General features: G+C 40.7%; 1 protein-coding gene and 1 long non-coding RNA gene across 25 annotated transcripts in view, besides 1 other annotated feature; one reads left to right on the top strand and one right to left on the bottom strand.

Annotated features, from left to right (window-relative positions):
- Positions 1-14715, top strand: part of SYNJ1 (synaptojanin 1) — a 99636-nt gene that overhangs the window by 63517 nt on the left and 21404 nt on the right. For all 24 annotated transcript variants that reach the window (XM_047441038.1, XM_017028497.3, XM_017028499.3 and 21 more), the window contains 5 exons: positions 7006-7162; positions 7758-7875; positions 7976-8191; positions 11512-11590; positions 14532-14694. In XM_047441038.1, the coding sequence (XP_047296994.1) occupies positions 7006-7162; positions 7758-7875; positions 7976-8191; positions 11512-11590; positions 14532-14694 (733 nt within the window). The remainder of the gene's footprint in view (positions 1-7005; positions 7163-7757; positions 7876-7975; positions 8192-11511; positions 11591-14531; positions 14695-14715) is intronic.
- LOC124905011 (uncharacterized) lies at positions 162-3650 on the bottom strand. Its single transcript, XR_007067845.1, has 2 exons — positions 3485-3650; positions 162-3379 (listed from the first exon to the last, which is right to left on the bottom strand). It is a non-coding gene; the product is annotated as an uncharacterized LOC124905011 (long non-coding RNA).
- Positions 3467-3656: a silencer, noted in NCBI's record as "fragment chr21:34033532-34033721 (GRCh37/hg19 assembly coordinates)". NCBI's record gives its function as "represses an EF-1alpha promoter that drives an FKBP-Casp9 reporter gene in an ReSE screen in HepG2 liver carcinoma cells {active_cell/tissue: HepG2}" and the evidence as "EXISTENCE:reporter gene assay evidence [ECO:0000049][PMID:32094911]".

The following is a 14715-nucleotide window of genomic DNA, read 5'->3' as shown; positions in this document are numbered from 1 at the left end:
TTTTGGGTCGTGAAACATGCCTTTTTAAATCAAGATGTTTTAAAATTTTCTTGGGGTCTTTTTGTACTTAAATATGCATCTGTAGGTAAACAGATAATAGAATTATCTTTCCTTAAAGTGTAGCAGGATGAGCTGCAGACAAGAACCCTTCAGACACCAAGTTGTAGAAGGAAAGGGCTTTATTCAGCTGGGAGCAGCAGCGGACTCACGTCTCCAAAAACCGAGCTCCCCGAGTGAGCAATTCCTGTCCCTTTTAAGGGCTTACAGCTCTAAGGGAGTCCATGTGAGAGGGTCGTGATCGATTGAGCAAGCAGGGGGTATGGGACTGGGGGCTGCATGCACTGGTAATCAGAATGGAACAGGACAGGGATTTTCACGATGCTTTTCCATACAATGTCTGAAATCTATAGATAGCACAAGCGGTTAGGTCAAGGGTTGATTTTTAACTACCAGGCCCAGGGCACAGTGCTGGGCTATCTGCCTGTGATTCCATTTCTGCCTTTTAGTTTTCACTTCTTTCTTTGGAGGCAGAAATTGGGCATAAGACAATATGAGGGGTGGTCTCCTCCCTTATTCCCCCCTTTGAGAACTTCACTCATTAATGGGAGTTCTCACTTTCATCCTCATTACCCATGTCTTCTTGCAAGACAGATTGATAGTGATTCATATGGTACACTTGCGCTGAAGCATTTTGGTGAGCTAAGGTAGTGATGAAGCTTTTTATCATTTGAAGAAGTACAAGTAGCAAACAAGGGAGCAGTAAGCAGGTTCCTATTACTATTATAACTCCTATTATAAGAGTTTTAAATCCTCCTAGCACTGGGAACCATTTTTCAAACATGGCCCCCGGATCAAATCCATGCCACACTTGCACAGGCACATGTGTCAGTTTTGTCATATCTCTAATTATGTCTTCAACTACTTGCCCTTCATCATCTGTGTATAGACAGCAATTAGTAAGGTTAAATTTCCCACAGACCCCCACCTTCAGCTGCTAGCAAGTAGTCGAGAGCCAATCTATTTTGATAGATAGCATTTCTCATCTGAGACTCTTGCCAGGGCAGTATAGTCAAGGCTCTGCCAGTTTTATTAGTGATTATTTCTAAGACAGCTTGTAACCGTATGATTCGGTTGAGCATGTAAATGGGGGTCCAGTATCCCCACGAGCCATCTTGTGCCCAAGTAGCAGGTCTGTAATATTGTATGATTCTCTCAGGGGGCCATTCATCATCTTTCCAATTTCCTATAGCTATGCTTCTCTTTTCTCGGGCAGCATAGACAGGGAAACCCAGGAGTTTGCCTGTCTTTATGGGCAGTAGGAAGAAAGATGGTTTAATAGTGCCAATAACACAACTACCTGTCCACTGGTTGGATAATTTGGCACAAGCTCTATGCCCACATATACAGTATAATCCAGTGGGGGCTGTCCAGTCCTGGTGGGACTCCGGATGGGTCCACACGGTTTGCAACTTTGGGAATTTACTAAATGGATTCCTTTCTGTGTGATTTGAACTCCACCAAGTGACTGTTTTTGTGGTACCATTATACAGTTTCTGTCCCAGACAACTAAGTCATCCTACGGGGTGAGTGAATTCTTTTCCTTCTCCAGCTATGCAATATTGTCCAATAATTGAGGTTTTTAGGACCCAGAAATTATCAGGGTGATTCTTTTGAGCTGGGAATTCATCAGGAACTGGGTCTGTAGGTACTAATTCTCGGGCTTCTCGTGGCCATTGATCTCCCATTACAGTTCCTCCACATACATAATGTGAAGCAACATTGAGAGACTAGGCTACATGCTTGGCTAATTGCAAAAACAAATTTCTTGTTTTTCCTGGAATTTCTGGTACTGGCACATTTAGTTCATCATAGAAAGTTTGAAGCACTGGCTCAGGAGAGTGTTTGTAAACTTCTCCTCGAACTAAGATATTTACTCGAGGATCCAGTCCAGCCCCATTGATTCCTAAGGTCACACGCTCCCCTTTTTTCCAGCGAGGATCAAGGGGATTGGTTATTACTAGCTCTAAGGGGTTACATTGTCCCTTAGTACAGGAAGGGCCACTTTTTCCTTTCTGAAGCTGCACTGGATCCTTTTCATTTTTTATCCAAGTGGCCCAAATGACACCAGTATCCACATTGATTTCCACACAGTCCTAATTCATGACAAATATACTTATTTTTGGTCATATAGCCTTTTTCCCAATCAAAAGCCACACCCCTTCCTAACTTATTGCTCTTAATGACAGCACAGGCATCAAATTTCAAGATTATGCGTTTGGGCACCCCTTTTTCTTCTGTTTTGGCTAATACTTGTATCATTTACAAGTCCCCATCAGTCTTCAGTCCTTAATCTTACTTCAAAAACTGTGGACCTGGGAGGCCACAGAGGGATCATAACACACATCTGGGCAGTCGTTTCCTAGGCTACATACCTCGTACTGAGTGTCATTATATAAACACGTTCCTTTTAAAGTTCCTAGGCATTCATAGTAACTATAGAACAGAAAGATTGTTTTAACTTGTTACCCTACCTCAGTAACCTGATGTATACACTGAGAGCAGTCTTCTATGCAGGGAAAATCAGTGGAAGTTTTTACTATACAAGTCCAAATTATAAGGAAAATGAGTCCCACGATGATTCTCCTCATGCCTCGGCCGTGCGTAGACCAGTCAGCTTCCGGGTGTGACTGGAGCAGGGCTTGTCATCCTCCTCAGAGTCACTTTCAGGAGTTGTCTGGGCTCGGTTTTGCCTCCCAAGTTTCAGCAGCTGCAGGTTTCACACGGCTGTGGTGGATCCAGGCTGGGATTCCTTCTCCTTTACAGCCGTGGGGGTGGTCAGGATGATGGTGTGAGGTCTTTTCCACTGTGGCCGCAAAGGGACTACGTTCCAGTCCTTGATCCACATGCGATCACTTGGAGAGAAAGGGTGAACTGGGGAGAATAAGCTGACGGGACACCTCTCATTTACCCAAGTTGAGATTGTTTGTGTAATTTTTCCCAAAGCCCGTAGCTGTCACTGTAACTCAATTTCACCTAACTCTCGGGGAGTGCCTGGAAGTCCCCCTAGTATAGGAGGAGGCCTATGATACAGTATTTCATAAGGGGAGTATCCTGTTAGAAGGGATGCATCTAATTTTAAACAATACCATAGGAAGGGCCTGTATCCATTTTAATCCTGTTTCCTGACATACTTTCCCTAAACTATTTTTGATAGTCTGATTCATTCGCTCCACCTTTCCAGAACTCTGAGGTCAGTAGGCGGCATGTAGTTTCCAAGTGATTCCTAATGCCTTTGCTGTCTTCTGTACCAAGTCAGCCACAAACACCGGCCCGTTATGTGAGCCAATTCGTAAGGGCAGTCCAAACCTAGGAATAAGATCTCGGAGAAGCACACGGGTTACTTCGTAGGCCTTTTCAGTTTGTGTTGGATAAGCCTCCACCCACCCAGAGTAAGTACACACAAGAACCAGCAAATACTTGTTACCTTCACATTTTGGCATTTCTGTGAAATCCACCTGAAGACCCTCAAAAGGAGCCGCTCCATAAGCTTGTATGCTGGGTGGAACCGTGGGGCCTTGCCTCACATTGCGCTGTCAGCAAGTAACACACCATTGTGCTACTGCTTTGGCAAGGGCTGGCAAGTGTGAGATGTAGAAGTACCGGCCTAACAACTTTTCAAGTGACTCTTGACCTAGAAGAGTGGTTTCATGCATGGCCAGTACGACTGTGGCTCTCAGCAACTGTGGCACAGCTACCTTCCCATCTGGCAGTCTGATCCATCCTTCTTTTATTACTTGCCCCACTTCTGTGTGGAAAAAGTCTTTTTCTTCCTTAGAATAGGTAGGTACCAGGTCAGGTGTTTGAGGGAGTAAGGGGGCTGCTACTGATGCACAGTAAGGGGTAGATGCTGCTTTTCGAGCTTCTGAGTCAGTTTGGGAGTTTCCTAAGGCCACTGAGGTGGAGGCTCGCTGGTGTCCCCTGCAGTGCATGACTGCCACCTTCTGAGGTTTCCACACTGCCTCTAATAATTGTAGAATTTCTTGTTGATATTTTATGTCCTTTCCCCTAGAGTTTAACAGGCCCTTTTCCTTATATAATGCTCCATGCACTTGGAGGGTTAGAAAGGCATATCAAGAGTCAGTGTAGATGTTTACAGTCTTACCTTCACTGAGTTCTAGAGCCCGAGTTAAAGCAATGAGCTCAGCCTTCTGGGCTGAAGTGCCCTGTGGCAATGGTTTGGCTTCAATGACAGCGTTCAAAGTTACCACCGCATATCCTGCACATCTTTCTCCATGTGGATTGATGAAGTTGCTCCCGTCCATGTATAACTCCCAGTCTGCTGATGCCCATGGCTGGTCCCGAAGGTCAGGTCTGCTAGAATAAACTGAGTCCAACATGTCTACACAGTTATGCTTGACCAGGCTCTCTGATACTGGGAGCAGGGTGGCGGGATTTAGGGTGTTACAGACGTCAGTGATTATGCGGGGATTTTCACATAGCAAGCTTTGGTACTTGGTTAATCTAGCATTTGTTAGCCAATGATGTCCTTTGGTATTCATCAAAGTTACCACAGTATGGAAGGCCTTTATATTCAGGTTTTGCCCAAGGGTTAGTTTATCTGCTTCTTGTGCTAACAGGGCCATTGCTGCCAGGGCCCTTAGACATGGGGGCCAGCCTTTGGAAACCCCATCTAGTTGTTTTGAGAGATAGGCCACTGGCCTTGGCCAGAGCCGCACAGTCTGGGTTAAAACTCCAACTGCCATTTTTTATCTTTCTGACACATAGAGTGTAAAGGGGTTTGTCAAATCTGGTAGTCCTAGGGCTGGGGCCAACATAAGTTTTTCCTTTAACTCATGGGGGCCTGCCATGCGCTGCTGTGGTGAGGCGTTCGACCGGGGCAATTACCTACCCGGAAGTGCTCTCAGGATCCGCATTGCTCAAGCTGGCCGGAGTCCCCCACAGGGATGTGCCACAGGGCAGGCCTAAGCCACCTAAGGGGCTGCCTTGACCATCCGTTAATCACCTCACTTCCCGGTCGGGGAACCAAGAAATGTAGCAGGACGAGCCTCAGACAAGAACCCCTCAGACACCGAGTTGTAGAAGGAAAGGGCTTTATTCAGCTGGGAGCATCGGCAGACTTGCGTCTCCAAAAACTGAGCTCCCCGAGTGAGCAATTCCTGTCCCTTTTAAGGGCTTACAACTCCAAGGGGGTCCGCGTGATAGGGTCATGATCAATTGAGCAAGCAGGGGGTATGTGACTGGGGGCTGCATGCACCAGTAATCAGAACAGAACAGGACAGGGATTTTCATGATGCTTTTCCATACAGGCCTGAAATCTATAGGTAACACAAACAGTTAGGTCAGGGGTTGATTTTTAACCACCAGGCCCAGGGCGCAGTGCTGGGCTATCTGCTTGTGGCTTCCATTTCTGCCTTTTAGTTTTTACTTCTTCTTTCTTTGGAGGCAGAAATTGGGCATAAGACAATATGTGGGGTGGTGTCCTCCCTTAAAAGTAATAAAAATAGGAAAGAGAAAACCCATAATAATTCCCATAAAGAAAAATATATTATGTATCTATAAGATTCACTTTCAAATAGAAGGATAAACTTTTTTTTCCTTGGTGATAGTTTAGAATCTTCATCTTTAGGGCTGTTTTTTTTTTGGGTTAAGTCCTGTGGTTATTGACTTTTCTTTTGTTTCTATGTCATCTGACTTTTGAAACACTTCTTAAAGCTTATGACCACAAAATTTGGGAAGAATTTATTAAATTTTTTTTTTTTTTTAGGTAAAAGGATCAGTGGCCATCTGGTATGGTGCCTGGTGATCACCAGACTTGAATCTTTGGGCACCACATTACCTTTTCAGGCCTCAGCACCTCATTGAGAATAAGATATCAGGCTAGATGTTTCCAGAATCCCATTTACAGTTCCAAATGTCTCATATAGCTCAAAGATCAGGCAGAATTCCCTTATTCATGTAGTTAGTTTAATCAAATGTCAAACAAGTGGTATTGAAGCAGGATATTTCCCTGACTGCTTCGCAGGTGGGAACTGGAGTGCATGGGCACTGGCGGGGCGAACTCTGCTCACTTGACCCACTGCACTCCACCCCTGTAGGAGGGGGAGTTCTGGTAAGTGAGTGCAGGAGCTGGGGTGAGCGCTTTTGGGCACCGGCAAGAGCGAACTTTGTACCAGGCCCGTGGCAGTGTCTAGGGGAGGGTGCCTCCAACCCCTGAAGCCCCACAGAAAGTGTTACAGTGCTGTTTTAGCTCTGCTGCCTGCAGATGGCTTAAGTGTTAACAGCTTAGTGGGGGGTCAGTGCGACAGCCTTATGCTCCCACACTCATGGCACCCGAGTTCTTATCTGGTGTCCAGGAGGAATGAGGTCACATGAACGAATTGAAGATGGTAAATATGGGGTATTTTATTGCCGATGAAAATGGCTCTTGGCAGGAAGGGGAGCTGAAAAGGGGACAGAGCAATAAGATAATCTTCCCCTGAAATCCAGCCATCCCATGGCCAGACTCCTCTCCAAAACTGTGCTGCCAAGCTGTCCCTTTGAAGTCAAGCTGCTTCTCTCTGACATCCAGCTGCCTCTCCTCTCTCTGCCAGCTGAGCCTGGGGTTTTTATGGGCACAGGATTGGGGGCAAGGCAGGCCATGGGTGGTTTTGGAAAAAGCAACATTCGAGCGAGAAAACAGGGATATAAGTTCTCATTTGGGGCTGTGGTAACAGACTTTTTGGCTTGAGGGTGGGACCCAGCAAAGGGACCCACCCACTTCTGCCCAGAATTTCCCTGTCTCCTGTCCCTATGGGTATGAAAAATGCTATGTCTCAGGTTATTTTTCTAAGCTTTGTTCCATTCAGCTAGAAGTGTTCATCAGACGCATACAGATTTCTTCTGAGAGCATCCAGCATGTAATAGACATTTAATGGATGACTGTCTGAATGAAAACAGAACTTGTTGCTGTTTGGGAATAACTTACTTTGTATATGTTTATTTTAGGTTTTTAGAGGATTTTTAGAAGGAAAGGTAACCTTTGCTCCGACATATAAGTATGACTTGTTTTCTGACGACTATGACACCAGTGAAAAGTGCCGCACCCCTGCCTGGACAGACCGTGTCCTTTGGAGAAGGAGGAAATGGCCTTTTGATAGATCAGGTTGGGAAATGGGCTTCTTTATTTAAATGAACTAATGTAAACTTATGAGGAAGCAGGGAATGACATAATATCAAATGAGGAGAATATTGTTTTTCAAGAAACATTAACTGGAATAGAATAAATAAAATTTAAATATGTCAGATTTTTAGAAATATCAGATCTGTTTATAATAACTTATTTAATTTTTCAGCCTATTTTCATATAATTTCATGTAAAGAGAAGCAAGGAAATATTTTTGTGAAATTTTTAATTGAAGCTAATTTAGGTTTTTAAGCTAACTTTAGTGGTTTGCATATGTTTTGAACTGCCACTTGTCTCTTGAATTGTTTATGAAACACCATTTAGTCCCAGTCCTTTAAGTAATCTTGGAAATAAAGCCAGATCTTAATTTTTACTAAATAAAGCATAAAATGATAACTTTACCAAAACCTTTCGAATTTAAAGGTATTTAGACTGCCTGCCTATTACCAAGTGTTTCTGGCATTCCAGCCTCAAACCACTGAAGCTCATGAAAGGAAGGAGAATGCCTCTTTGCTCTACACGATCTGTCCTGCTTATACAGCTTCTCTTGTGTTTTCATTTCTTCTGACTGCAGCTGAAGATCTAGATCTTCTAAATGCTAGTTTTCAAGATGAAAGCAAAATTCTGTACACGTGGACTCCAGGCACTTTGCTGCACTATGGAAGAGCTGAGCTGAAGACTTCTGACCACAGGTTTAAGCAGTCTCAGTTTTTCTAATAGTGTTTGAAATTTGTTTGAAATACACCCTTTTAAAAACATTTCTAATACATCTATCTTCCTTTATGCCTTAAGGCCTGTCGTTGCCCTGATTGATATAGATATATTTGAAGTTGAAGCTGAAGAGAGGCAAAACATTTATAAAGAAGTAATTGCAGTTCAGGGTCCACCAGATGGTACAGTATTGGTCTCAATCAAAAGTTCTTTACCAGAAAATAATTTTTTTGATGATGCCTTGATTGATGAGCTTCTGCAGCAGTTTGCAAGTTTTGGTGAAGTTATACTTATAAGGTAAGATGTTTATTATGCAAAAGTAGCTTGTGATTCATAAACAATCATTTCTATATAGAAATCACCTTATTTGGGGAAGGAGAGAATTTTAAAAAAGAAAGATACCACCTTATTTAGTGTTTAGTATATGAGTATTTTTATTTCCAAACTAAAGCAAGATCATACTGTGGATATTATTCTGTAGGTTTTTATAACTGAATTCTCAACTTAGAAAGTTTAAATGAATAGTGAAACTTTTTTTTTAAGACAGGGTCTCACCCAGTCACCCAGGCTGGAATGCAGTCATGTGTTCATGTCTCACTGCAGCCCCAACCACCCAGGCTCAAGCAATTCTCCCACCTCAGCCTCCCAAATAGCTGGGTCTGCAAGTGCACACCACCACACCTGGCTAAGTTTTGTTTTGTTTTGTTTTGTTTTTGTAGAGGCAGGGTTTCACCATGTTGCCCAGGCTGGTCTCAAACCCCTGGCCTTAAGCGATCTGCCCAGCTCAGCCCCACAAAGTGCTGGGATTACAGGCGTGAGCCACCATACCCAGCTAAACAGTGAAACTTTATGTGAACAATTGAAAACAAAAATAGGTGCAAGTTCAGATATGAACTCTCACGATTCCTATACAATAGAACATGTAACAAAACCCTATAACAAAATGAAGCTGTGATTGCTATTTTTTTTTAAGGAGAGATAAGAATGACTCCCTCCCTGCCTCAGTTAAAGAAATTTGAGTAATTTTAAGTATGTTTAATTTCTAACAGAGATGTGATGACTAGTCAAGAGTCATTCCTTCTAGTCTTGGTTTCCCTCATTGATCTAGCCATCTGCCTTTTGCAGAACCAGATGCCTGTTTCCTTGTTTTAAAAATGTTCTCTTCCAACTATACAGCAGTTTTGAGAGACTGAATGATGTGCATGTGTGCATGTGTTTGGATTTCATAGGGAAAGAGGTACCATTAAATCCCTTTAAATACCATTCATTTGCTTAGTTAGGTATGTTTGATAGATATTTGGTGGGCAGATCTCTATACTAGTTGCTGTAGAAGAGCAGAGGAGAAATGGAAGATACAACTCCTGCTTGTAATCTAGTAGGGAAAGTCAGCATGTGTGTAATGACACCCCCAGATCCTAAAGGGCGTAGTCCACAGAATTAAGATGGTATGGCTTCTACAGAGTGAAAATCAAAGACACCTCAAGTCCTTTCAGAGAGTAAATGAACAAATGGAGAAGAAATTGTGTTTAGACTTTCCTCAAATCTTTTGACAAAGGTCTATCCCAAAGCTTTCAAATTAAACAAAACAAAACATTTCAAAAATCTTAAGGTTCTTGAAAGTACACAGTGAAATCTGCAAGTGTACAGATGACAGTATACTTTGCCAAGTACAGAAATGCCAAACCACCAGAAGCATCATGTAGACTGTGTGAGTGGGCAGCAGAGTAGCAGATAAATGTCTTCCTGAGCAAATGTAAAATACTGCACTGAGCTACAAAGAATCCAAACTGTATAAGGGATGAAAGACTCTGATACAGGAAAGGGACCTGTCTTTATAACCCAACCTCTAAAGAACTTGTTAAATTGAAGCCAGAAGGTTTCCCACAAATGTTTGTCATCATTAGGAAAAGTATTGGTAAGAAACTAAGGCATTAACCTAACATTATAAAACCATGGGGTGTCTCCAACCTGGAATATTGGTTGTTAAACCCCAAGATGACTAAGTTGGAAGAGAAAAAGCAAACACTGAAAGTCAACAAGGAGAGGATCTCTATAAGTAGTGAGAAGAAACTGATTATTACCTTTTAGTCTAGATTAAGACAGCCATTAAGGAGTGAGTAAACCCTGTGAACCCCTTTATTTTTAAATAAGAGGTTCCCTGGAAATGTGTATGGGATAAATTTAAATACATATAGATGCTTACATTAATTGAAGGAAGAGTCTAGAAGCTTTTACTGTAGTGAGTGAAAGCAGGAAGAAAATATAGCTTCCAAAAGAACTTACATAAATCAATAGATATAAGAACCAGAATCCCTTGTTAAAGTTAGAAATGTGTAAGGGGCACATTGCTGATTGAGAATAAGGACAAAGATATTAGCCCTAACCCAGGACCACAAAAGTGTTGGTACCTATCAAAGAACAAATAATGTTTGGGGTCTTAGGGGACTGGTGCAGCATAAATGTATGCTTACAGTGGTGATTATAACCTTTGGAGGAGGGATAGTCTCCATTGCCAACAATCTGAAAAAGATACCTTCGTGTAGTTAGGTAAGAATGGTCTCCCTGTGTATTTCAAAGGATAGCATCCTGCAATTTAGTTTTATGCCAAAGAAATTGAGTCAGTTGCCTTGGTCATATCTGTGGGATTGTAGAAATCGGTTCCCTCCAGGCCCTTGATTTTACCAGGGTGAAGTACTTATGCACACTTTTGTTTTGGCCTTTTCCTCTTAATATTCATAATTCATACTTTGGAATCCTAGTTTAAGTAGGGGGTTAGGGGGAGAGTGATACTCTGTGTGTGTGTGTGTGTTTGTGTGTACATGTTTTCCTCTCATTGTGGAAAAATCTGTAAAGATTTCTGAACTTGTGGTTTAACTCGCCAAATTTTCTGTAATAAGACTGATAACATCATAATTTGTTCTTTTTTGAATAATAACTTCATTACATACCTGCGACCCTCTTCAGAACTTCTTCTGTCCTTTTTATTTTTTTTTTCCTCTTGATAGTTTTTTTATTTCAAAAGTAAAAACTTGGAATCCTATCAAAGACCATTGAAGTCCCAAAAGAGTAAATGTTTGTCAATGATGAAAGACAAGGAGCATAACTTATCTAAGGCTTCTTGGGGCCAGTCTGGTTTTGTTTTCTTTCACTGGCAACTCTCATCTTTTTTGATCATAGGAAATTTTCTTCAGGGAAGTCACTGAGACAGTGAAAATACATAGTACTGGGTTGTGGGGTCCGGAGACTTGGATCCCAGCCCTGTAACATATTCTCCTTATAGAGTCACTTTGAACAAGTCACTTAACCTCTGTCCCTTTTTGCCTTGTCAATGAAATGGAGGATTGGATGGGACTGGATTAGCAGTGATCACAAATGGAGGTGCACAGACTCATTTCTTGTGGCTGTTCCATTAACATAGTATTTGAAATTGGAGTTAGAGTGTTTTTAGGGGAAGAGTGCCCTCTCCAGGTCACCACCAGCCCTACCTGCGCTCCCTCCTTTACTTTTTACTTCCTGGCCTCTTGTGGCCCTTGTTAATGATCAATAATCATGGGAGTAGTCACTGAGCTTGTTATGTCTATGGTATTAATTATGGTTTTTTATTGTTTTTCTTAAAGATTTGTAGAAGATAAAATGTGGGTTACATTTTTGGAGGGAAGCTCTGCCTTGAATGTTCTGAGCCTAAATGGTAAAGAGGTAAGGTAGCATTTGTTGATTCTAAACCATTCTGAAATTAAATGTCTGAAGATGGTATGATATTTTTATAGACATGCAGCAAGATTATCTAAATGGGAGGGGAAAAGACCTTATGGTATGTTCGAGGAGTTATTTAATGTTTTTTATTTAGACTGGATTTCTGACTAGCCTAGGCTTATTTTGGCCCCTCCCCAGAGATATTAACTGTTGATATAGACTAAGAAGGAAACATGTTTAGCACCTAATTTGATTTATTACATTTTATGATGCAAAAAGTTTTAAAGTTTTAATTGGGGGTAGTCTGGCTTATCTGTATAGTAGAAAAACATTCTATCAAGTGAAGAAAATGCATTATGTACCAGAAAACAAGGGAGAGAGGTGCTCATTATTCCTAGGAATTTGTTTCATTGGCTTGGCTTACCTAGTTATCTTCTTCAAACATAACTAAATTAATTTCCAGAGATAACAGATCCATCCCATTGAAGTATTTTAGAAATTTTTAACAAATGGAGATATTCCTAACCTGTGATTTGAAAAGTCATTGATGACGGAAACTTACATTGTTGGCCTGGAATAGTTTTACTTCTCTGAAGTGCTTCATCTGTCATTTTTTTCTGAACTCCTTTAGACCCAAATCCTAAATTTCTAAGTATATAGTCAGTGCACAAGATGGATTGTACTCTAGGCCTGATTCCTGCAGCACTGAGCAACTCTGTGAGCACTGTCCTGAGCTGCTTCTTCTGTCACATCAACTTCTTTGGAGAAAAAAAATTCTTTGTATGTATTAGGCTGGGTGCGGTGGCTCACGCCTGTAATCCCAGCACTTTGGGAGGCCGAGACAGGTGGATCACCTGAGGTCAGGAGTTTGAGACCAGCCTGGCCAACATGGCAAAAACCTGTCTCTACTAAAAATACAAGAAGTAGCCAGGCGTGGTGGTGGGCGCCTGTAATCCCAGCTGCTTGGGAGACTGAGGCAGCAGAATCACTTGAACCTGGGTGGCAGAGGTTGCAGCGAGCCGAGATTGCACCAGTGCACTCCAGCCTGGGCAACAGAGCGAGACTCTGTCTCAAAAAAAAAAAAAAAATTCTTTGTGTGTATTGCTTTTGAAATAGGTTTTGTAGAGTTTTGTTTGTTTTCCTAAATGTAATACTAGTATACTCATGTAAAATCATGTATCAGGAAACATGGAAAAGAATTAAAAATAAGACCACTCACATAATGCTACCATTCTGAAGTAATTTCTCTTAACCTTAATATTAGCATATACATATGTAAATACAAATGGGATTTTATATACACACAAACACATTAACACAAATGGGATATGCATATACGCAAACACAAATTGAAACCGTGTTATAAAGCTATTTTCTTACTACCTCTTATGACTGTGTCAGGGACATCTTAAACAAATATGTCATTTTTAATGGCTTCATTAATTTCATTTTGTGAATAAATATATACATTTATTAAACCAAACTCCTATAGACATCTAGATTATTTCCTATTCTTAATTATTAAAGCCAATATTCCAGTGAACCTCTATGTATCTTTTTGAATATTTTTTTGGTCTTCTAAATTTCTTCCTTTTCATTTGGCCCTGGTCTCTACCAAGGGGATAGTCCTAAGGAATTACATCTTAATTGGCCATTATGGTGATAGGTATTTAAGAATGCTTGTTAGTATTTTTTGATGAATATAAAAGAATTTTGTTGACTTTGAAAAGTAATATATGACTTGTAAAGCGTGTTAAGTTCTGAAATTGGATTGATTTTAGTACTCATATCTACTTGGCAAGTAAAGGATTATGAATTCTTAGGATTCTGACTTTAAAGCTCAGTGTGGATGCTAAATTACTAATAAACACAGCTGTGCCACTCAGTTCAGCAACTTTCAACCTCTCCATTATTATGCCTTCAAGGAATTCTAATATCAGTAACACTTTGAGCCAAGGAAGATCTGTACCCACAAAGGTGCCAACTGTCAGCACAGCATATTGATCACAGCTACACAGTTCATTTGCAAATACCAAAAATATTCACATCTTGTTCACATTAAGAAACTCTTCAAACAAAGGAAATTGAAACTATGTGGGAGAGAGATTAAATTTAGAAAGCAAGTTTGTTATAAGAATATGGGTTTTAAATGAGAACTCCTTTCTAGTGCACATTTTGTCCTTGACCAAAGAGTCTTGCTGTTATCAGCAAGTTTTTTTGAGAGTATTTTTTAAATACATTGACACGATCTGCTATAATTTGATTATAATGTCTTGGTTGTCTTAGATTATACTTTAGTCTAAAAGTCACCCAAATTTATAGAGAAGGCAGAGTGCCAGTTTCACAGGTAGAAGTCATTCTGTTTTTAGAATGATTAATTTTTGTTGAAGATTTAAAATGGTGTTCAGTTCTCTTAATATTCTTCTGACATTTGAAATGCTAAAACTGTATAGGTTAGCACTTAGCAGCTGACAATATAGCAGCTCTTAGGACCATATGCCAAGTTAGGAAAGACCAAATGAACAGGAACAGGAAATGCATTTTAAAGATTTTCTGCTGTCTCTTTTGTAGTTGTTTCACGTGGGAACAATTACTTAATCTGTGAATCAAAATTAAGAAAGTATAAAGTTATGTAGCAGAGTTGTTGGTGAATTTACATCTGGCCAGGAAAACATAGTGGTTGTAGCAAAGGAAACTTGCATCTCTGGGCATCCTAGAAAAGATCTTTATTTATCACCACAGGTGTTTAAAGGGAGAACTGGGAACAACCTTTAAACTAGTTTGAAATTTAGTATATGTGAAAGAACTATTTCTTTAGTTAGCTGAATTGTCTAACTAAATTAACTGTCTATACCATTGCATAGTTTAACGAAGTCAGCCTCTTTATTCCAAATTAGTTAGCTTTCATGTTAATCTTTATTTTATATCTCTTTTACTCCGCTAGTTATTGAATCGGACTATAACTATTGCTTTAAAAAGTCCAGACTGGATCAAAAATTTGGAAGAAGAAATGAGTTTAGAGAAAATTAGCATTGCATTGCCATCATCAACAAGCTCTACCCTGCTTGGTGAAGATGCAGAGGTTGCAGCAGATTTTGATATGGAAGGTTTGTTTCTTAAACACATTT

The sequence above is a fragment of the Homo sapiens genome, chromosome 21 (genome assembly GCF_000001405.40).
Source record: "Homo sapiens chromosome 21, GRCh38.p14 Primary Assembly".
Taxonomy (NCBI): Eukaryota; Metazoa; Chordata; class Mammalia; order Primates; family Hominidae; genus Homo; species Homo sapiens.
This window is presented reverse-complemented; position numbering and strand designations above follow the sequence as displayed.